A 24,515-nucleotide genomic window follows, 5' to 3' on the forward strand; every position below is an offset into this window, starting at 1 on the left:
AAACATTATTTCCTCAAAAGAGAAACATTTAGTATGCAAAACTTAATGCAAGGAAAAGTACAAATTTTCCTGAAAAAGATTCACGCATATGTGGCATAAAAATGGGCCAAAGCCTAGTAAAGTACCGGGCCTAGAAGCTTATTTTAATCATTTCTCGATAAATGACCATATCAATCTAGTTTTATGTAGTCTAAACAAATTTTCTAAGCCCGTAGGAAGTTCACCATCTTTTCCACATTTACTGAGGTAAATGCACCACGGAAAAATTAAAGTAGCCTGAGGAAGAATGATATAGTTCAACATTATTTAGTATACTCCCATTTGGATACTACCTGCCTTGCCTCATACTAGTGACTATGAGTGAATTATTAAGTTCTTATATTATATGAACTTGGTATAAAGGCCTTTACTCTTTCCTGTATTAAATGTAAAATGCATGCTTGCTAGACTGGTCCTCATTTGTCAACTGTCCAAGTGCTTACCCAATGACATATCTCCAAGTCTACCTTTCCTGTTCCTCTGCCATTGAACTAGCTCTAGATTGAATCATTGAATTTTTCTAGATTGCTCGTATGTTTTTATCTCAACATTTTATTGGTCTGTTACTGATTTTCTGTCTCTCCCAGGATCCTAGAATGCCCCACCCCACCTTGCATCTTGCCCAGTTTCTCAACTCTTTTGAATTTAAAATTGCACGATTAAAACCTAGCAACGACATAAAATTGTCAAATGGCTTAAACTAGGGAGTTTTGGTTTCTGAGAATGAGAAAAAACAGAAATGTTCTTAAAGAAGTGGGTTTTGGTTTTGGAGAAAGAATGGGATGGAATACACCTTTAACAGAAGTGTAAAAAGATATCGTAGTTTCTTCCAGGTATTTCTGTGGTAGTGATAAGAAGATCAGGTCAGATGACCAAAGGTGTGCACAGAGGGAGATGCACTAGGGATGGGAACCCTGCTACTTGTCAGAGGATACTGAATTGAAGAGAGAGGAAGATAGGCTGGAGTTGTTCTGTACCCAGAGAGATCACTGTGGGGAACCTTCATAATATGGTCCTAATTTAGTTTCATTGGTGAGACCCATGAAACTGTACATAGAGGCTGGAAGTAACTTATGGAAAGATAAATGATTTAATAAGGAATCAAGTGTTTGTATAAATCAAACTGAATTTCTACATTTTTTCAGAAGTGAATATTTTTTCTGTAAGGTAGGATGTTCAACTAGGAATGAATGTTCGGATAGGATGAATCTAGGAATATCCAATTCTGTTAAGAGTTCCCTGTTAGAAAGTGCATGTGAATGTATTTGTGTTTCGATGAACTTTAAATCTCATTCAGAATAACCATACATCTCTGTAATCTTTATCCAGAAATAATGCCATTGAAATTCACAAACATTACAGAAACTATATCCTTTGTAAAGCTTGATCAAGTTCAAGTAACTGGACTGAATTGGAAATTGACCTTAGGTATATCATGGTAACTTAAAGAGTATGCCAAATGTCCTCAGACTGAATTAACTTAATTAAGACCACAGATAAAATATAAAATGTTACACAGGTAAGTTAAAATAAAGGTTCTACTTTGCCTAAAAAACAAGTAAAAGCAAGCCAACAGAATGGAGGAATTAAGGTAGAATCTCTCTAAAATCACCAGGGTTTTTAAAAGCTTTTTTCCAGCTAGGCATTCAGAATGAAAGCCTAGCCTACTTTGACTTGTTTTTAGTTGAAAAAGCCAAATTTCTTTAAAACTATCAATACAAATTGGTAGCAATTTTTACTAGGAAAGTATTGATAAATGAGAATCTACTTAATTTCATAAGTCAAATCCCTCTTGAGAGCAGAGCAGTTAAATGAGAAAAAAATGAAATTTTAAAGTTTTCAGCATAATATAATCTTTTCATACTAGATAAGTAAATAAATGTTATGAGTGTCAAAACCACTCATAAATGTGTACTTATGATTTCTTTTCCAGATTCTTTTTCATGTTTGTGATAGTGCCACTTAAAAGTTATTTGTCCTCCAAATTCTCTCTCCAGTGGGGCCTATCCAGATGATGTTTTGGCAAAATACAAAGATTTAGATCAGCAATGAAATGCTTCAGCAACATTCTAAGTCTTTCCTTAGCCGGGCATTTTCCTAGATGCTTGAGTATTATTAAGTGACCTGAAGATTACATATGTATTTTACTAAGATTTCACAGACTACGCAAAGAGGACAGAAATAGATTTCTAAAATTAATAAGCTTAAACATGTTAAGAATAAAAGTAAACAATCACTGTTTTTAGAAGGTACTTTAAAGTTTGAAAAAAATAGATTGCTTATAGAACTTCTTTTTTAAAAAATTCAACTGTACTATTCTTGAAATGATTTACTAATCACCATAAGCTAGCAAAAGAAAGAGACTGGAACTGCCTTGAATGAACACAAGATCTCTGTACTAATGCAGATTTGATAAAGATAATTATTCAAAAAATAGTGAGGGTGAATGATTACGTGGAACAGTCATGAAAAGACCCAGTTCATAAGATAAGCAATTCATATCACAAGGCTTGATTGAGCCTAACACGAAAGCAAGTAAATTCAGTATCAAAAGTTTCAAAGGAATAACATGCTTCTTGGTCTCTTTAAACAAGGTTATTATTTATTTGCTTAAAATGAAAGCAGAAAAAGTGCATACTGATGCTTTTTTGAATAAATGATGGAAAGCTCTTAGCTCGTATATGTTAACATGTCTCTGTGTTGGTGATAGTTCTAGTCAGAAGAGTTGCAGCTTTTTTCCCAAGAAATATCTTTGGGAAAGGTGAAAAATTATTTTTAAAAAGTCACTATTTTCACTCAGTGTGAATTAATATGGCCTTCATCGCGGTATGAGAAGAACCACTTTTTACTCACTTTTTAAACTTTAAAGTGCAACTAATGTATTGCTTGTCATTAGACAGACTTACTTTGTGAACATTACCTTTAATTTACTAAATATACTTTTGTCTCCAAAATTACCTCCAATTATTTACAGCATCTCACAGATTATAATGAGTGGTTTATCCTTACGACAGTTTCTCTTGCATTAGCACCAGCTGAGCTTTGCAGGCAGAAATGAAAGTTAGAACATTTCTGCAAACTAAAATAGGCAGCAAATATCTCCACATTAGCTTCTGTGACTACATTCGGTCATTGGTGCTCACAGTCATACTTTTTTTTTTTTTTTTTTTTTTTTTTTTTTTTACATCTTAGCATTTCTTTATTTGAATTACTGCATTCAATTAATATTCACTGAATGCCTGTCATACACGAATGCTTTTCTTAATAACATTTTAATAGGTTAAACTATTGGGCCTTTCAAAATAAATATTATAAACATGGATCCTTAGATAGTATCTCAATATTAAATTGAAGCCTAAATTCCTCCCATCATCAATTCAGTTTGTCCAGGAGACAAATCACATGCTAAAAGTTAAAAAAAAAAGCTTCATTTCTTAAAAAGCATTTCTGTGCATATGCTCTTTCAAAAGTTGAGCCTGCCAGAATCTCATAGATCACAGCAGCCTGAAGTAGGCATATTAGAAAGAATGAGGTCGTGTTTAATTCCCCCAAAGGTTATTTTCTTGACATATGTGTTTTTTTCTTTCAACTGACTTATTTTGGATGGAAATTTTAAAGTAATCATCTGACTCCAAAATATAGCAGCACTAATACACTTCAGCCAACTTGTTGAACAAATTACTCAGTGCAAAGAATGGAGACTTAAATATGTGGAGCAGAAAAAGGAAAAGATGCCTGAAAATGAATTCAGGAGGTGGTAAATGAGCTTTGAGCTAATATTATTGATTACTTAAAAAAAAAAGCCTTTGAGTCAGACAAGAATTATATGTAGGTGGCAAGCAATTCTTACAAATACAGGTATTATGTTACAGGGACTATATCTCCTGAATCATTTTGGAATTCAAAGGCCCTAGGTAGTTTTGCCTCAGGTATCTCTTCACCTAATTTGAAATTCAAATGTATTAAACTTCCAAAGCTAAATATGACAAATTAGACATGGGCTCTGAAGTTAGCATTTAATGAGCTATGAACCTAGACTTTCATCTCCCCAGGAATAATTTATTACTTTTTGTATTTTATTGCAATAAAGCACCATTTGACCTTCAAGTATGATAATTAAGCTTCCAAAAATGTTATAAATTTAGAGTGAAAACAGTTCTCCCTGTGTTCAAGAACATACTTATGCTCAGTATAAAAGATTTCTTAATATTTAAAGACAGCTAAATTATACACAGAACCAGCAATATTAGGAATTATTTTTCTCTTCCCTCTCTGATTTTCCACCTCAACTTGATTTATGTCTCAAAACAATTTATCATCTTTCATATTCTAATATAAACGAAATAGGAACAAAATGAAAATATATCTTTATAACCTGCAACTAGGAGATAGAGAACTCTTTCAGATAAGATTTATTCCAATAGGAGCTATAAATAATGGGGCCTCAAACATTAAAAATTATGGCTCATTGTCTTACCATGCTCATGTCACCATCTTTTCTGGGGAGATATCCACACATTTTTCAAAAATTTGCTTACAATATAAATACAAGTTTTAAGTGAAAAATCAGAATGCAAAACAATATCATTTGAATTGTTGGTACATTTTTATTTTTATATTTATTTATATTTTGAGAGAGTGTCTCGCTCTCTTGGCCATGCTAGAGTGCAGTGGTGCATCTTGGCTCACTGCAATCTCAACCTCCTAGGCTTAAATGATCCTCCTGCCTCAGCCTCCCAAGAAGCTGGGACTACAGGCATACAGCACCAAGACCAGTAAATTTTTTTTTGGGGGGGGGTAGAGACAAGATCTTACCACATTGCCCAGGCTGGTCTTGAACTCCTGGGCTCAAGCAATCCACCCGCCTCAGCCTCCCAAAGTGCTGGGATTACAGGCGTGAGCCACCATGCCTGGCCAAATTTTAATTTTTAAAAAATTGTTACTGTGTAGCAACTTTTAAAAATCCTAGACCTTTGAGAACTTGAAGAGATGAAGTTCATAGATGGAGCAGATGTGAGAAATTGCAGGTATAAATTGACCCAAAACCTGAGAACATATGGCTTTTAAGTAACATTTAGAGGTTGGAAGGAAAATCACTAGGCTCAAAAGAGGAAGAAGGAAGAGGAAGAAGTGGAGGAGAAGGAAGAAACCTTGTTGCTAACATCAACAGAAATTGCTAGAGATTTTCCAATGTCTATTCTTCTTTTCTTTATTTCTTTATTTCTCAGCGCCCCCCTATAGCTTCCTGTGACAAAGGAATTAAGTTCTGCCCATATGAGGTGAGCAGAAGTGACTAGGGTCACTTTCAGGGCTGGGTGATGTCCTAAAGGAATGGGCATGCTTCCTTGGCCCTTTCCCCTCCCTGCTGTAGGAGGTGGTGAGTGCTGGAGCAGCCAGCTTGGCGCCTAGATTTGGAAGCTACTTGCTGTGCACAGTAGAACGACCCTGCCAGCCCTAGACCATCTATCTTCAAACTGGTTTATGACTAAGAAATAAACTTCTAGTCATTTAACCCACCCACATGTTGAAGTACTTTGCTTAGTACCTCAAGTACATAGAAGCTTAATTGACACTCTAACTACAATAGTTAATTTCCCATGGGTGAGGAAAGGGTCCCTTTTGGGGAAAAGTTTCTTCTCTTTATCTCAGTCATAATCTTAAAGGCCACAGTAGCAATTAGAGCTGATCCAACTGCAAATTCCTGTGAGTAGAGAGACTCTATCTTGAATATCTCTGCATTCCCAATGCTGAGCACAATGTCTCACACATGGCAGTTCCAAAAATGCTAGCTGAATGGATTCTGATAACATCAGCAAGCCAATATTACTAAAACCATTGTTGTTAGAAAATTCTAATCATCTCCTCTGTTCCTTTTCTTCCTTATTGCTTGTACATATGTCATCTTCTTCCTTCACTTTTCTTCATATTTCTTTTCACTTTCCTTTACATACCTAAGGATGAATTGTATAATCTGTCTTGCTCTAAGATAGATTTAAGGCAGCTTACAAAAAAAGGCAGACAGCTGAACAAGATAATAAAGGGGGGAATCAAAGATGACAAACGAGGGTAGAAAAATAATACATGCCATTTTGAGATATGTATGCAAGATGCATGCCCCCAGGACTTCAATTTGGTTCTCAAGCCATAAAGTTACAGAAATAGAAGAGTTCATAACTTTAAAAGAACACATATTATTCAGGAGAAGGACAGTTATTGCAGGTACACAGACTGTATAGAAGTTTCTTCTGTAGTTTCTCATACAGGACAGTGAGCAATAAAGCAAACATCATCTCAAATACCATGTAACCAACTCTGAGTTTTGTTAGGCTACTCCTAGTAAAGTTCATCAATGAAAAAAGAGTGCACAATGCCTAAATACAGATATAAAAGCACTTCTGGGGACATGGGAGGTACAGACTGGCTGGCAATTAAAGAAATAAGAGTAATTCGGCATTTTTGGAAAAGTGTCCTTGCTTTATATGGTTCATTCATTTCCTAAACTAATATTTGAGTGCCTGCTAAGTGTCAGGTACTGTGCCAAGTTCTGGGAATGTAAAAATGATCCAGTCTCTTCTGGATCAAGGGATCCAAAGTGTAGTATAAAATACATTTAGAAGTCAATGCATTACATACAATATGGTAAACTAAATTCAGTTAGCAAATATAAGGTGGGAGAGTGATAAAAATAAAGATGATATAGGAGGAGACACTTGAACTGGATCTTTAAGGATGAGCGCAACTTCATCAGTTAGACAGCAGAGGAGGTATGGAGGAAAGTACACCAGGGAAAGGAGTTGGCATATATGAGCTACAGTGATAGGGTCAGGATGGCATCTCTGATGAAGGACATACTTATTCCAGCTGAAATAAAGAGTCTGGTGTCAGGTGAGGGTGATGGGTGTGGAAAGATCTAAATGTGGAGATGACGTTGGAGAGAGAGAGAGGTGGGACAGATCAGGGAAGTCCTGAAATCCAGGCTGAACTGGGGGGAAACAGAGGGCAGTTATAGGGTTTGAGGCCAGGAGCATTTTGATCAATGTGTGAAAGGCCTGAATAAAAAAAAATGGCAGTGGGCATGGAAAGAAAGGGGTTGGTTTAAGAGACATTGTGTAAATTGGCCTTAGACACACTGGATATAGACATGGATGACCACAAGGAATAAGCAAAGAAATGTGTTACCTAGGTCTCTGTTTAGTGACTGGGGTGATGATGAAGATGCTAACCAGAACTGCAATAGAGGGGTACAGATTTGGGACGGACTAAAGTTCAGTTTAGAATATATTGAGTTCAAGGTGCCTAAATGACACCCAAATGTAGTGTTTAGTAATAGTAGTGAGAGCTAACATCTACGGAGTATGTGCTAGCCACTATGCTATGCACTTCATCACGACATTTAATCCTCACAACCTTATGATGTTCCTTCTGGGCACAAAATATTGTACCAGGCTCTTGGGAATGGTATGCAGTGGCCAAAAAGGTTGATACTATCCCTTTCCCTATTTTACAGATGAGAGAATTGAGACTCAAAGATTTCATGGCTAGAAAGTGCCAGAGCAGAAATTCTAACTCAGAGTATAGGTAACTGCAAACTTCATGCTCACAATCATTTTACCTTCTTGACTCTTTGTATAAGCACCAAGGAAGTGGAGAGCTAGGGAGATGAAAATTATAGGTGTGAGTGAGTTCAACAGGGACAATATAAAAGCACAAAAAGAAGGCCAGGCATGGTGGCTCATGCCTGGAATCCCAGCACTTTGGGAGGCTGAGGCGAGTGGATCATGAGATCAAGAGATTGAGACCATCCTGGCCAACATGGTGAAACCCCATCTCTACTAAAAATACAAAAATTAGCTGGGCATGGTGGTGCATGCCTGTAGTCCCAACTACTCGGGAGGCTGAGGTAGGAGAATTGCTTGAACCTGGGAGGCGGAGTTTGCAGTAAGCCGAGATCGCACCACTGCACTCCAGCCTGGTGACAAGAGTGAGACTCCTCTCAAAAAAAAAAAAAAAAAAAAAGTGCAAAAAGAAGCCCAACCCTAGAATGTGTGATGTGGGAAGAACAACTCATTAGGGAAACCGAGAAAGAAAAGAGAAGTCAGGTAGGGTGAGGATCCGAGTCCTCTGGATTAGTTGGCACCCTAGTGGGTTATTGGTGACCTTGAGGATGATGGTTTCCAGGGAGTGCTGGCGGTAGAGGCCAGATGGCAGGGTTAGGACGAAAGCCTGGCGACACACACTGCTCTTTCAAGAAGCTGGACTGTAAGAAGGAAACATGGCCGGGGGTACCCGAAGTTCAGGATGAAATACTTGTTAAAGTAGCAGTGGCTTCAGCATATTTAAGCACAGAGGAGGAGGTGGCCACTGAAGCGGAAGACATTGAAGCTATCAGAAAGAGAAAGCACAATTGGAGCAAGGGCTCAGAGGAGATGAGAGGAACACCATTCCACTAAGTTTACATTTTTCTGCAAATGTGTCTTGGTCCTTCTCTTCTGGGTTTGCATTAGTAAACCTGTACTATAAGCTTCTTAACAATGGGATGGGAGACTGCCTTATGTTGCCACACACCTTGCCTGGGGTCTGGTGCAGTGTTTCACATATGCCCACTGGGGATACAGCACAATATATATTAATTAATACCAATGAATTACAACTCTTAAAAACTTGATTATAAAAAATCTATATTAATTGTTACATGAAACAACTGAATTTTCACACGTACATTAAAAATAATGTTGGATTAATAAACTGGATGAAATAATATTTCACAAGTCAAACAAAATTGTGAATTATGTATGTTTGTAACAGCTTTGCCCTCCTTCCCCAAGTGATTGTATAGATCCAAACTTGGTCTTTGTCCTTCAAAATATGGAGGAATCAAGCAGGTTATATAGCAGCATGTGTAGAAAGAATTCTTCCATAGGCACCCAAAATAACTCAATGTAAAATCCTTCTTGGGCATAAATCTAGGAATTTTGACTTTGGACTAGATAAAGCTGTCAAGTGGGAATGTATATAGCCCTCAGCACTGAAAAAGAAGGCTGTTTAAATCTATGTTCAATCATCTTGGGATAAACAGCACCAGTCCAAAACACCATTCTTTAGGAAATTAAAAGAATAATCAGACCCACCTCCAGAGTCAGTAGCAAGAAATTTTACTATGGTCATGTGAATCAGCTCTTTGTCATTCCCCTTAATCTGCTTGTCTTCAGATCACTTAAGGATACTTTCTGCCTGCCATAGCCCCAGGAGGGCTTTAGTGTGTCGCTTTGTTGGGTAGTTTGTAAGACCGTGAAGCAAGATCGGGGGTTCCTGGATGGTTTTCCCTGAGCCTCTTAATTCAGTTGTCTTTGTTTATAAAAATCACAAAGCCTAGGGATGTCATGAACAGGAGCTGTAACCACTAAAATAAAATATAAGTTACAAAATAGCCAAGGGGAGCACAGATGTCTTTGACTAGCAAATGCTTAACACTGGGCACATTCAAGTGAAATACATCAGTATTTATTTTTCTTTTCAACAATTAAAGTAGATACGTTAAAACCCAATTCTGACAATGAGAGAGAAACAAGTCTGAATTAATAAAGACTTTGCATTTCAGGGTATTGGAAAGATATTTAGTAATATAAGCTGTTGAATAATCAAGGATAGCCAAGAGAAGATTTTGGTAGATCTGATCTACAATTTTTACAATAGTTGGGTATAAAGTTACACTTAAAGTGCTAAAAAATATAAAAGGAGGTTAAACACCCCATTCACATTCTGGACTTCTTGTTAAACTCTTCTGCCCCTCTCCATCTCACAGTTTCAACTTTCACCAATCCTTAATACAAATGATTTAAAAATTGCAAAGAGTTTGCATTTGGGATGAAGCATATATGCTGCCTACCACCACGATCCAAGGGCCCTTAGAGAGCACAGCCACAGTTTCTACCACTCACTGTTCTGAGGGTGATGAACAGCTGAAAAACTGCTGAGCCTGGCAGAAAGCAGCCAAGGTTTTCTGCGCCAGCTGTAAGCCTGACCTCTTTCCTCCTGACATAAAACGTTTGCCTTTAGTTATAGCCGCTTCCATCAACACAACAACAGAGAATTCCAGGGTGGTTTATAAATGGCACGTGCCCTTTGGGCTTTGGGGGCACTATAGGGCATGACTGCTGTCAGGCCACTAAGCCTGCCATCTGGTCTTGCTAAATAATCAATGTGTGTGTTTGAAGAGGGTATGCCAAGAAGCCCACAGGCCAATGAATATACACACACACATGATTATTTTCCCTGCTCCATCTTCAACTGTGATGTGTGCATACTGCTGGACCACTGGCAGCCATGCTGATGCACTCACATCACTTTTGCCTTAACTGTGTAGATTTAGGGCACCAAAGAGTATATGTGTTCTTTCCAAGGTTTTCAGGGAATTTAGGCAGTAGTGATAATCTTGTTTACTAGGGCTGTGGTTCCTGAGGGTTTTTAATGTTTGATCTTTTTTTAACTTTAAGAATCTACTTGGTATAATGGAACCAGCATTGGGCTGTGAGTCCAGAGCTTTGAATTCTAGGCCTGCCACTCGTGAGTACTGTAGATTTTGCCAAGTTAGCTTGCTTGGCTTCATCACTAATCCACAGATAAGGAACCTATAGTTACATGATCATAGCATGAATTCAAATACTAGTCCTCATCCTAAGTCTATCTATACCACACTCATATTAACATTTTCAATAGGACTCATGTGGTTCAGAGACAGATGTATTAGGTCTGCAGCTCTTTTTAGGTTGTTCAGTAATAATTGCTGCAAAAAAAACTGATTTCTCCTAGTTCCTTTCAAGTTTTTAGTCTATTCTGATATTTTGTCTATTCTTTGTTTTGGTCATCTCTAACAATACTTCAAAAAACACCACAATGTTTATCTTTAAAATCACTTACTGACATTTTGGACAATTTCCCAGATAGTCACTGGGCTAACTCCTTTATCCCCTTCTTGGTCTTTGCTCTAATGTCACCTTCTCAGTGAGGTCTACTCGACTTACCTGCCACCCTATTTAAAATTGCAATCAGCCTCTTCCCCCCTCCATCCAGCTGTATGCTCTTTCCCTGCTATATTTTAGTGGTCTATTTCCCCCTACAACACTTGCCACCTTCTAACATGGTACCACGTTTAGTCATTTCTGATGCCTCATGTTTACTGTCTGTCTCCTCTTCACTGCAATGTAGACTTCATGGCAGCAGGGATCTTTGCTCTGTTTATTGGCATATTCCAAGACCTAGCCTAGAACAGAGCCTGGCACACGGTAAGCATTAAGTAATTTTTGTTTAGTACTAAATATTGAATAATTTCAGTTCTTTTTGTTTTACAGCTAGTGAATGAACCTAAGCATCTTTTACTCTCAAAATAATTGAGGGTATACAGCCCAGCCAACCCCGCACCCCAGACTAAAGATGGAAAAACTCTAGCTCCTTGTCTACACCATGACACGACAGCAGAATGCAGATGGGCATGTGTTTACAATTACTTGGAACCTCAGAGATATTAAAAAAAAAAATCTCTGAATCTGGTCTATGTTCCAAGAACATTAAGGGGACTCCTTACAGTTTACATGAAAATCCATGCACAATTTTCAAAAATTTGTAATATGCTGGTACATGTATTTTACAACCAGAAATCAGTGTGAGGAACATTGCTAGTAGCAGCCACACTGCCTCATCATGGTCCATAGCAAACATTCAGGGTTAAAGATTTTTCAGTAAGGACAGTGATTTTTCAATTGTAAAATGTTTAAGTTGATCATTCAGCAAACATTTACTGAGTCTATGTTGCATGCCAAACATGATTAAATGTTAAAAAAACCAAAAAGTTAAATCATGGTTCCTGCCTTCAAAAAGCGCTCAGTTGGGGGAAATGAGTGTTTAAATAATCATGACACAACAGAGACAGAGCATGTTAAGGGAGTCAGGCAAGTCACCATATAGGAGGAGACATAGGAGTTGTAATTCAAAATTTTCCTTCGATTCTTGAGAAGGGATTTATTCTCCTTGCCACAGCAGACTCGTCCCTTCTCCTTCCTAAGTCTAACCCCCTATATACACTTTTTGGAGGAAATGTGTGCTATCTCTTTACAATACAAATAATGTAAGTTCACTGTAAACAAATTACAAAACAGAGATACATTTTTAAAAAATTAAACATTCACAATTTTACCCCACTGATCTACTTCTGCTTTTTATTTCACACCAACTGACCTTGAATAAAATTTTGCTTCAGCAAAATCCCTTCCCTTTATGATGTACTGAACCTGTGCTTTGGGCCAGGGACTCTGGAAAGTAAGGTCACACAAGTAAAGCCTGAATCCATGCTGTGATTTGAATGTGTCCCCTCCAAAATTCAGGTGTTGCCAGAGTGACAGTAGTAAGAGGTGGGGCCTTTAAGCAGTGATTAGGTCATAAGGGTTGCTCCCCCTGTGAATGGGATTAAGGTCCTTATTAAGGAGGTTTCACACTCAGCTGGCTTGCCCCTTTGCCTTCCACCACGTGAGGATACAGCATTCCTCCTCTTAGGAGGATACATCATCAAAGGCACCTTCTTAGAAGCTTAAAGCAGCCTTCACCAGACAACCAAACCTGCCAGCACCTTGATTTTGAACTTCCCAGCCTTCGGAACTGTGAGAAAATAAATTTCTGTTCCTTATCAATTACCGAGTCTGTGGCACTCTGTTATGGCAGCACAAATAAGACAATCCACTTCTGTATGATTTCAAAGCCCTCGTGAAGCCTAAAATCCAAAAGTAAATCATGCCCACTAGCATTCTCTCCTCAGTCTCATTTAAGAAAAAAGTAGCCTCTGACATCCAGAACCTGGCCTGGCAATCCCTTCTGGGCCTTGGTGTCCTCCTATTGAACATAAACAATTTCACAGAACATCAACTTCAGACAAGGCTACTCTGTGACCGTGATGAATCAAGATAGAAACACATCTATTTCTTAATCATGTTGTCTCAACACAGACACAACTTTAGCACTCTCGAAATCACAATGTGCCAAGCACCCTCTTTCCTGGCTCTTAGGAGCGACTGCTGTTTCTTTATCAATTACAGCAGTAGCCTTGCTCTAGTCTGCCCTCATGGTAGATTTATTGAGATACCTACCCACAGAATTGTCCCCACTTCCAGACAGCATCGAATCCAGAGCAAAGCTCCACTTTCTTAAACCCTACCCCAGTCACCAAATACAGCACAAATCTTTTTTACTTTATTTATTTATTTATTTATTTATTTTTAGACAGAGTCTCACTCTATCGCCTAGGCTGGAGTGCAATGGCATGATTTCGGCTCACTGCTACCCCCACCTCCTGGGTTCAAGCAATTCTCCTGCCTCAGCGTCCTGAATAGCTGGGACTACAGGCATGTGCCATCACGCCCAGCTAATTTTTTGTATTTTTAGTAGAGATGGGGTTTCACTGTATTAGCCAAGATCGTCTCAATCTCCTGACTTCGTGATCCACCCGTCTTGGCCTCCCAAAGTGTTGGGATTACAGGCATGAGCCACCGCGCCCCGCCCAGCCCAAATCTTACAATAACAATTCCTTTTGTAACCTCCTCTTCTTGAGATGCCCCATGGTTCCCCCATGGTTTGCCTTCTCCCACACTGCAACAAGCACTAAAGCAACATGTTCAACCTATTCAACTTCAACTAGGTGTGTTCTAGCGGTGTTTGGCTGCAAGGCACTGGAAGCCTATAATAAACACACTCTGATTTGGAGAGAGGGAGAGAAAATCCAGAATCCTTTCCTCTCTGGGTGCCTACCTCTTTCCTTATTTTTTTTAAAAATTTTTTTTTTTAATGGACAAATAATAATGGTACATATTTATTGGGTCCACAGTAATATATATAATCTATAGTGATATTTTTTCAAAGCCTCAATTTTAAACTGCCCAGGATTTATTTCTCATGTCACAGTAATCTGTCTTCCCTTGACTGCCTGACTCCAAAGATTGAGCATGAAGCTTTCCATGCTACAAAGCTGCCTCAGGTGGTCTCGCCTCACCTAAAACCACCCTCATTTTCAGCCAAATTGCCAATCGCTTACTTTTTTTTTTTTTTTTTTTGAGGTGGAGTCTTGCTCTGTTGCCCAGGCTGGAATGTAGTGGCACAATCTAGGCTCACTGCAACCTCTGCCTCCCAGGTTTAAGCGATTCTCTTGTACTCGGCTTCTGGAGTAGCTGGGACTACAGGCACCTGCCACCATGCCTGGCTAATTTTTTCTATTTTTAGTAGAGGTGGGGTTTCACTATGTTGGCCAGGCTGGTCTCAAACTCCTGACCTCAGGTGATCTGCCCGCCTCGGCCTCCCAAAGTGCTGGGATTACAGGTGTGAGCCGCCACGCCCAGCCCAAATTGCCAATCACCTTCTGCTTGTAAAACCCTAAGGTCCTTTTCTATCCACCATCCTCTCTGTTTGTCCTTGTTGGACACCTCTACCATGTTCAGATTTCTTCCCTCAGCTCCCCTCACCTCAGAGGCTTGCCTCTTCTCCAGAGTTCCCTCTTCTTCCCACTCCTGCCCAGTCACTGGTCTTTCTCACTTGGCTGCTTCCTCCATGCTCCACCCATCTCCCTAATGAATGCATTGCCTCCGCAGCATCAATAGGCTGATGGTTCTCAAATGTCCTTGGCTGTCCCAGCCAGTGACAGGCCCCCTTCTCAGCAGGCTGCTGGAGAACTCTGCAACTCCCTCAGAGCCAACATGTGGTAGTGCAATTGATTATCTTTTCTTCCAAACACCTCTAACATTTTCTTTATTTCTTCTCTGTTCCTGGCATCAATGTCCACCCAGTCACCCAGGCCAAAAGTGACGGAGTAGCCCCAGATTTCCTCCCTGTTCTCACCTGCACCCCCATACCTTCTCTAGGTCTCTCTAACATATCCCCTTCTTTCTGGCCAAGATCTAATCACAGTAATACATGTAATGTATAATGATCACGTTTTTTCAAAGCCTCAACTTTAAACTGCCCAGCATTTATTTCTCATTTCACAATAATCTGTCTTCCCTTGTCTGCCTGTCCATCATCTGCCTTTAATCTGTCAATAATCCTGCAACACATTCCACCCCCAACCCCCATTAGATTTTCTTTAATTGTTCTATCACTCTCCTGCTTCCTTCCCACCGCCTGCAGAATGCGTAAGTCCCTGAGCATTAACAGAAGGTCCTGCACGATCTGCTCCACTTACCTTTCCAGGCCTCATGGTTTAGCTATAATGAATTACTGGCTAGCCTCCTCTTTCTTATCTATCAGACTATTGTAGTTTAATTGTTTGCTTATTCATTTGACAAACATTTATGAGGTGCATACTGTGCACCACATATTGTGAGAAGCTTTAGAGATTCCATAGTAAAAAGCACAGCCCTTACCCTCAAGGAGCATATATCTCATGGCAGACAAGGCATTGTGATGATGTTCTTATGACAACATGCAATAAATAGTTGTCAAATGAATGAATGAATGAATGAATGAATGAATGAATGCACAAGTAAGTTGCTCTCCCTGTGCCTTTGTTTCCTCATCTTCAAAGTGTAGATAATAATGGTTTCTTTTTCAGAGGGTTGCTGTGAAGATTAGATGAGTTGTGAAGATTAGATGAGTGCTTGGAGTAGTGTCTGGCACATAACAGTGTTGAGAGCATTCCTATTTAATGTGCCTTGAGAATTCTGTAGAGAGAGTTATGTATGAGGGTTGTCTAGACCAGCCTGAGGGGAAGAGGGAGGGAATCAAAGATGTTTTCTCTGGAGGGAGGGAGTGATACCCTAAGCAGGGTCTGACAGCCCGAGTTAGACAGAACAAAAGGATGTAAAAGGATAGCCCAGGCAAAGAAAACTTGGAGAGTATAGGGTGCAGATAGCACCAGGATGATAGAGCGAGGTGCATTCAGGGAGTTTTAAGGTAAAAATGAGAGGATGACAAGAAACGAGGTAGGAGAGGCAAACTGAAGCCAGATTGTAAGGGATTTTCCTTGCATGTTGATAAGCAGTAGGAATTTCACTCTGAAGACAAACTATTGCTTCCAATTGAGATTGTGAAGGGTTTTAAGCAGGCAAATGAAAGAAGCATATTTCCATTTTAGAAAGCTCATTATAGCAGTTCTGTAAAGGCACCATGAAAATAGGAGCAGAAAAATCCTGAGGGAGGATATTCGGCAGTTCCCAAAGGAGGCACTGCTGGGCCCTGATGTGAGGTGGATCAGCGAGAATGGGAAGGAGGAGATAGATGGTTCTCCTCTTTTCTTTCTTTCTTTCTTTCTTTCTTTCTTTCTTTCTTTCTTTCTTTCTTTCTTTCTTTCTTTCTTTTTCTTTCTTTCCTTCTTTCTTTTCTTTCTTTCTCTCTCTCTCTCTCTCTCCCTCCCTCCCTCGCTCCCTCCCTGTCTCTCTCTCCCTCCCTCCCTCTCTCCCTGTCTCTCTCTCTCCCTCGCTCCCTCTCTCTCTCCCTCCCTCGCTCCCTCCGTCTCTCTCTCTCCCTCGCTTCCTCTCTCTCTCTCCCTCTCTCTCTCTCCCTCCCTCCCTCCCTCCCTCGCTCCCTCCCTGTCTCTCTCTCTCTCTCCCTCGCTCCCTCTCTCTCTCTCTCTCTCCCTCGCTCCCTCCCTCTCTCTCTCTCTCTCTCTCTTTCTTTCTTTTGACAGAGTCTCACTGTTGCTCAGGCTGGAGTTCAGTGGTGCAATTTCGGCTCACTGCAACCTCCGCCTCCCAGGTTCAAGCCATTCTCCTGCCTCAGCCTCCTGAGTAGCTGGGATTACAAGCCCGCACCACCACGCCCAGCTAATTTTTGTATTTTTGGTAGAGACAGGGTTTCACCATGTTGGCCAGGCTGGTCTCAAACTCCTGACCTCAAGTGATCTGCTTGCCTCAGCCTCCCAAAGTGCTGGGATTACAGGCATGACCCACTGCGCGCGGCCTCCTCTCCTTTTCTCTTAAACCTCACTACCCATTCAGGTCTACCTTCCTGGGATGCCTTTCCTAACACCTCCAGGCAAACTTAGCTACCTCTGTGATCCATAGACCCGTCATTTGTATCTTAGCCTGTGAGTTCCTCAAGAACAGGAAATGGGTCCTTTTCACTTTCATATCCTTATTTAGCACTGTGAGCTAGGACAGAGGTCTTGCAGGTGCTGTATAAAGTTTTGCAGAATAATGACTTTCGGTAGGGTGCGGTGGCTCATGCCTGTAATCCTAGCACTTTGGGAGGTTGAGGCAGGCTGATTACCTGAGGTCAGGAGTTCAAGACTAGCCTGGCCAACATGGTGAAACCTCGTCTCTACTAAAAATACAAAAAATTAGCCGGGTGCAGTGGCACACACCTGTAATCCCAGCTACTCAGGAGGCTGAGGCAGGAGAATCGCTTGAACCCAGGAGGTGGAGGTTGTGGTTAGCCGAGATTACGTCACTGCACTCCAGCCTGGGTGACAGAGCAAGACTTTGTCTCAAAAAAAAAAAAAAAAAAATACTTTCAATGAATGTTTTATAAGAAAAGGGATTAAGATTACAGACCCTCTAAGACATAATGAGTACATTTTCTAATCCTTTTACTTTTTCAATATGTTTAGCAAGCAATACAGTCTTGTCATAAGAGATATCCTCAGGATCCACAGAAAAAAGTTTGCTTTGCTTGAATTGTTTAATTTAATTAAAATCAACAAACATACTGAGCGTGTTAAAATGGAAAGGCACTGTGCTGTGGTATATGGTGACTGCAATTGTTTTTCCTCTAATAAATATATTAGATATTCCTTACCCAATACATAAAAAATGATTACATGATAAAATGTTATTTTATTTGAGGAGACAATTACTATTTTAATTAAAAATAGATAAGGCCAGAATAAATATATAGTTTATAGCACAAATTATTTTCCTTATTATTTCCTGACAGTAGAAAGCCATCACTCTTGCACTCTTGTTAGCATTATTTTTCACTTTATCTTGGATAGATTGATATAATTTCAATGAGTTAGATGCTATTGAAAAGCTCAGTGTTTTTCTTCTGGTCCTGGGCTGTACAGCATTTTTAATAATATCCACATGTACCACTGTGTAAATCATGCTTATGTGTAATACTACTATAGAAGGCATTTTTCTTTTCCTCACTGGTTGAGAATTTTTTCCCATTGGTTTTTCTTGGCTTTTTCTTTTCATTTTAAATGAAACCAACCCCAATAATTCAGTTATAATAGAAAAGACTAAAAAATTTAAGGCTTAAAAGAAATTAGTTTTTAGACAATGGTAAATGTTAATAAAATTAGACATTTCTTTTTCTGACACTATAAATTTTCCAGGATATTAATGTTCACTGCTATGTGGTGTTCTATATTTTCAGTAATGTGAGTAGTTTCATAGTCTGGAAGAAGATTTGTATTATGATCAAATTCTTGAGCCTACCTACAAAGGCACATTTTAATATCTGTGCTCTCAAAAGTCACAGGATAAAAATCTGTTAAACCCAGGAATACTGATAATATGTTTGAAACTATAACTAGAATGAAGTTTTATAATTCAAGAACTATGTGTGTAAATCATCAGGATTTTGCCATTAATAATCATTAAGCATCACGTTACTTAGATAAAGTCATATTGTGATCTATATAACTAATAATAAATGGTATTTTCTTAGGTATCTCAAAAACCGATATAATTTTTCCTCATTTCTCTTGAAAGCCCATCAGATATTCTTTAGCAGAGAGAAAATTAATAGAAATTTCCTTTAAATTCAGTAATATAATTCTAAAAGTTAACAAATTCCCCCCCAAATGTCATTCTAAACAAAAATTAATACTATACTTACAATAAACAATGAAAATGGCATGACATTTACAAAGACTGACATAAAATGTTTTCATTATCAAGATGCTGAAATCAAGGAATATATGTACAGCTAAGACAAACTTGTATTCAATCTATCAAGATTTTTAGAATGACTTACACGGTAAGCTCTATGTCAGCATCTGGGGAACCAAAGTCCCTTAAGGCATAGTCCCCATACTTGAGAAGCTCAGTCTCTCTAGGGCAACATCCACCCCTTTTCAGAGAAAAATTCTCTATGAAGTGGTAAATGCTATAATGGAAACACAAAGTAGGGTGGAAACTCAAGGGATAGGGGGAACAAATGAGCATCAGAGCGTGGATCCTGGTTTTAACTTTTTCATTGTGCTGTGTTTGTGTGTGCATGTGCATGCATCCCGGTCACATATATCTGACATTATGTAAAATTTAATCTAAATTGATACAATGTCTAGCCACACAAGTCCGAAATTAATAGTGCACACAGTTGAAACAGGCCCATAGATACTGTACACATAATCATGTATAATATGATCAAATGTTAAAAGCAATAATCAGAAACATTTTCAACAAAGCTGACAGGATATTTAAGTGGTAAATTAAGCAGACACAGTTTGTAGAATTTAAAAATTACTACTAAGATTTGTACTTCCAGAATAACTAAAGGTAATTCATTAGAAAAAAATTATGAAAATAAATTTTCTTTTGCTCACACTTAGTATCTTCAAAAGTCTATAGATCTTTGTTAGTAATTACTAAATAACTATTAGTGATACGAAGGGTCAATACTTACATTTTTAAAGCTTACGATTAAGTAATCATAATGAAATGCTTACTTGGTACATAGAACACAGGACCTACCATGAATAGTTTGGACATAACACAAACAAATCAAATGTGACGCTTACCTCCTTGTTCACACAACTGCTGGGCTAAAGCATCTTTGAAAATAACCTGGCCCCGGTGTGTTGCTGTAGCCCTGGAAACAAATAGGAAAAGGTTAATTCAACTCTTGTAATATGTTTGGTGAAAATGTATGTTTAAAACTTTTTAAAAAGCTTATTCTTAAACTTTATTGTGTGGATATGATATTTTTAATGAGTACATCAGAAGAGTGATATAAATAACATGGAATGAAAGCTTAAACCAAGGCACCTGGGTTGAGGACTGTCTTCTGGTTTTACTATATAAAGACACTGTAACAGTTGTGAGCTTGTTCTGAAAACAGCAGATGTGCGTAAAGCCTATAGAATAAAAAGTATGGAGAGGAGGCTTATTAAAATTTCTTCTTCAGGAGCCTTTGATATAAAATGTTTTGTGGAGCAATATTGATATTAGTACTGGAGAAAGAGGCTCTTAAGTTACTTTTTTTCTGAAATCAATAGTCACCGTAACTTATAGAGTTGAGACAGAGAATTACATTTTTAAAAAGTATTTTCTTAAAAAGAGGGCTATTCAAAGCTTTCATAATAAAATCTGTCATAACAAAATAAAATCACATGAAGGAGATTCACTATTTGAAGGAGATGTATATCTTTTACTTCTTCCAATCAAAGCTGCGTACAAGGACTGATGGAAAAAAAATAACATCCTTGCAGCAGATGTGTTATTCAATGGCTATAATAAAAAAAGTCTTATTAAAGGAATAATTATGCTTTATATATGAAGGGTTTTCCCTTAAAAAGAATCTTTCTGGCACAAAATGTATTATTTAAACAAATTTAAAACAGAAAATCTTGTCTCTAAGAAACTTGATTTTAGAAAATAAGCCATACACAAAACTTTTTTTAATAACAAAAAAATTAGCATGAAATCTTAACTTTAGTTTTAGCCAAAACCATCCTAGGGCAAAAATAATTTGATTTAACTATCATCTGCTGAAGATGGATTATGTACAAGGCACTGTACTAGCTCACGACAGGGCGAAGTTTAGCCTATGTATTCCCCCTTGATATGCGTGCCCTTCCTTCGGTCAACATCTTGTTGTTTGCTGGGCCCAGTAGGGCTTCCTGGCTCCCAACATTCCTTGCTCTGGCCCACGTGTGGATGCACCTTTCCCCTCCCTTCTGCAGACCTTTCTGAATTCCATCCTGATTGAATTGTAAGTAGACCCTAGTGTCAGTCCCCGTGGACCCAAGTCTCTGAAGGTAATCTGATAAATTAATCCATGTTGAAGTGTTAATGGGTGATATCACTTCAAGCTAACATATTTCAGCAGTGAAAGTGTTATACCTTCACACACACACACACACACACACACACACACAATGGCACAATAGTGAGAGTTTTGAATGGTGGAAGGGAGATACAATTGGAGAGAAAAATCACTGGGTGGCCTTCAACTCACACCATATGTGAAGCTTATAAGGGGCGTCAGCCCTTGTTGTTGCATATTAATCATTATCAAAATTACACAAAAACAGATGCTACTATTCTTTTTAAATATTCACATAAGTTTATAGGTTTTTCTTTGCTTTCAGAAAGCTGAAAATGTGGAGAACTAAACATAGGGCCAATCCAAGCCATAAACATGGCCTAGAGGCTCTCTAATCAGTACAGATTTTATGACCAGAGGGAACACCGTAACTTTTTTACTTAAATACACTGTTCAAACCAACCAATCCAAGAGTGTCTGAGTTCACATACACTTCCAATAGCAACACAGTGATCACCAATGTAGAATTTTAACGTGACATTTGCTTTGGAAGGGACACATTTTCTGAAATCACTAACCACCAAGAAAAGTCCTACGACAGGCAATGTTTAAATAACTGTTCGTTTTTGTTGTCTTCTGGTTCTAAGTATATAATATTCCTATCATAATATTTCTTATTGGTCCACAAGCCTACTTGTCATTGTGCCAGCCTATGCTCCCATGAACACGATCAGCCAAATTATCAAAATAAGATTCAGGTAACAGAGGTTTCACCTTTTCTCTAAATATCAGATATACCAACATCTGCTAGTCACTTTATAGCATCTTGTGAGGAGTCCACACTGTTTTCCCCATTACTCAGTTTCCTCAGATTTATTATTTGTTGCCTTCATTAATATTCTTACTTCTGCTACTTTGGTTCAATAAATCTCATAAATTTCTAAAGAATAATGACAGAGTAATTGAACCTGAACGAACCTTTAAGATCATCTGGTCAAAACGACTTTAGCAGTGGTACTCATTCTTCAAACAAATATGGAATTCCAATGAATAATAGAGAGGAGCCCTAGCTTTTCAAAATTACGGGGCTCCACACTACCTATTTCCCAAATCTTGCTATCGTGCTTCTCTGGAACTCTTAGGGTTTAAGGGAGCAGAGTTTGAAAACCACTAAACTGGTCTAATTCTTACAGTATATGGATCAGGAACGTGAGGCCAGGCAGGATATTAACCTACTGAAGGTTACACAGCCCATTAATGGTAGATAAGATCTGATTTCAGGTCTTAGATTCGAGGCCTTGGATTCTTTCCCTTGCATCAGCAGTTTTCCAAATGTGTTCCACAGTGATGCCCTAGGGGTCTCCATGAGAGTCAAGAGAAGGAGGGGCAACAGCCAATGTTCCAGGCACCAGCCAATTCAACCAAACCGTCTAGGCTTTATATGTTCTAATTATTTAATTTTCTTTAAAGAAAGGGCTCAGTAATTAAAAGCTGGCTTGAGAAGCACAGCACACCATGTGCTCAATGACATTATCTGAAGTCCCCTGCTTGGGAAAAGAAGTAGTAGTAATAATAATAGTGGCTAGTATATATACTTACTGTTATTCTAACAACTATTATGAATTGAAATTTACCCCCTAGGCACTGCTGTAGGGCTTTACATAAATTAACTCAGTTAATCCTGTTAACAGCCCTACAAAGTAGATACTCTTATCCATTTTTCCTCGGACACAGAGCTACTGCATGATTTACAAATGTCACACCACTGGTGGCAAAGCTGGGATTCAAACCCAGGCAGTTTGAGTGTAGAGTCTTTGCTTTTAAGCATTACAGCAATATTTCATTAACCTGGTTCAAAAATATGATGGTAGCTTTCAATCTCTTTTCAGAGGAAGAGCCTGCTTTCAGGGAGTGATTTTCTTTTTTCCTTCTTTCTTTCTGTTGAGATGGAGTCTTGCTCTGTCGCCAAGCTGGAGTGCAGTGGCGTGATCTTGGCTCGCTGCAACCACCACCTCCCAGGTTCAAGCGATTCTCCTGCCTCAGCCTCCTGAGTAGCTGGGACTACAGGCCTGCGCCGCCATGCCCAGCTAATTTTTGTATTTTTAGTAGTAACAGGGTTTCACCATGTTGGCCAGGATGGTCTTGATCTCTTGACCTCGTGATCTGCCTGCCTCAGCCTCCCAAAGTGCTGGGATTACAGGTGTGAGCGACCACACCCGGCCCAGGGCCTGATCTTTAAAGAAATGTCTTCTCTGACTTGTATTCTCTACTCCAACCCTTCAGGCTAAAGCCATTTTAGTTAACCTCCTTTTGGACAAACTTCTCATCATTTCCGTTGGAACTCTGGCCTCTTGGCCAGCAACTCCTTGCACTTTGTCTTTGAAAATACCATTTCTCTCTCTCAACCCCTTCTCCCACAGTGTTCTGTGAGCCCCTCGACTTCTTTTCAACTTTTTATTATTTAATATAAAATCTAAGACAAGATACATTAAATGCTTATTGGCATATATTTAGTCTTCACCTAGTACATAGTATTTGTCCAATTTTAAACTTTCTTCCATTTTATAGGTTTCAATTAATCTTTTTTAAAAAAATGTTTTAACATTTATTTTAAGTTCTGGGGTACATGTGCAGGTTTGTTACACAGGTAAACTTGTGTCACTGGGGTTTGTTGTACAGATTACTTCATCACCCAGGTACTAAGCCTAGTACACATTAGTTATTTTTCCTGATCTTCTCCCTACTCCCACCCTCCACCCTCCAATAGGCTCCAGTGTGTGTTGTTCCTCTCTATGTGTCCATGTGTTCTTATCATTTAGCTCCCACTTATCAGTGAGAACATTTGGTATTTGGTTTTCTGTTCCTATGTTAGTTTGCTAAGGATAATGGCCTCCAGCTCCATCCATATCCCTATGAAGGACCTGATCTCATTCTTTTTTTATGGCTGCGTAGTATTCCATGGTATATATGTATCATATTTTCTTTATCCAGTCTACCATTGATGGAGCCCCTAGACTTCTATCAGCTTACTGTAGTCCCCTTTCAACTCTTTGTCATATTTCTTCCAATGAAGACCCCTTGCATCTTCCTGTATGCTACTGCCATAAAATTACTGGATGACGTTCTCAGCCATGCTGCTGCCCAAACCCTGGAACATACGTGGATACCCAATACACACATGTGTGCTGACAGATAAACATCACTTGCATCACTTTCTTTCCAAACCCTTAGAACCCTCAGATAACATTTTAATCTAAAATGATCCCACCCTATAGAAGACGCATGGTTAGTATTTCTAAAGGTCTGCATATTGGCATCTTATCTTGGGGAAAAGAAAAAGCAGAAGCCCAAGTGACCAGCAATAACACAGGCTCCCTTGCTTTATCCCATGAGCCATCCGCACTGCACTCCTTAGGGTGGGATTAATGTCAATATGGCAAGCCTATTTGAATGTATTTAGAGCTGTCAAATAATTCATGGTGGTTTACCCACAGAATCACAGCATTTATTTC

At 38.9% G+C, this 24,515-nt stretch overlaps 1 protein-coding gene across 2 annotated transcripts in view; it reads right to left on the minus strand.

The window, feature by feature from the left end:
* The window catches only part of RELN (reelin), a 517,870-nt gene that overhangs the window by 285,012 nt on the left and 208,343 nt on the right, over window positions 1–24,515 (minus strand). For both annotated transcript variants that reach the window (NM_173054.3, NM_005045.4), the window contains exon 4: window positions 19,757–19,827. In NM_173054.3, coding sequence (NP_774959.1) covers window positions 19,757–19,827 — 71 coding nt within the window. The remainder of the gene's footprint in view (window positions 1–19,756; window positions 19,828–24,515) is intronic.

The sequence above is a fragment of the Homo sapiens genome, chromosome 7, assembly GCF_000001405.40.
Source record: "Homo sapiens chromosome 7, GRCh38.p14 Primary Assembly".
Classification (NCBI taxonomy): domain Eukaryota; kingdom Metazoa; phylum Chordata; class Mammalia; order Primates; family Hominidae; genus Homo; species Homo sapiens.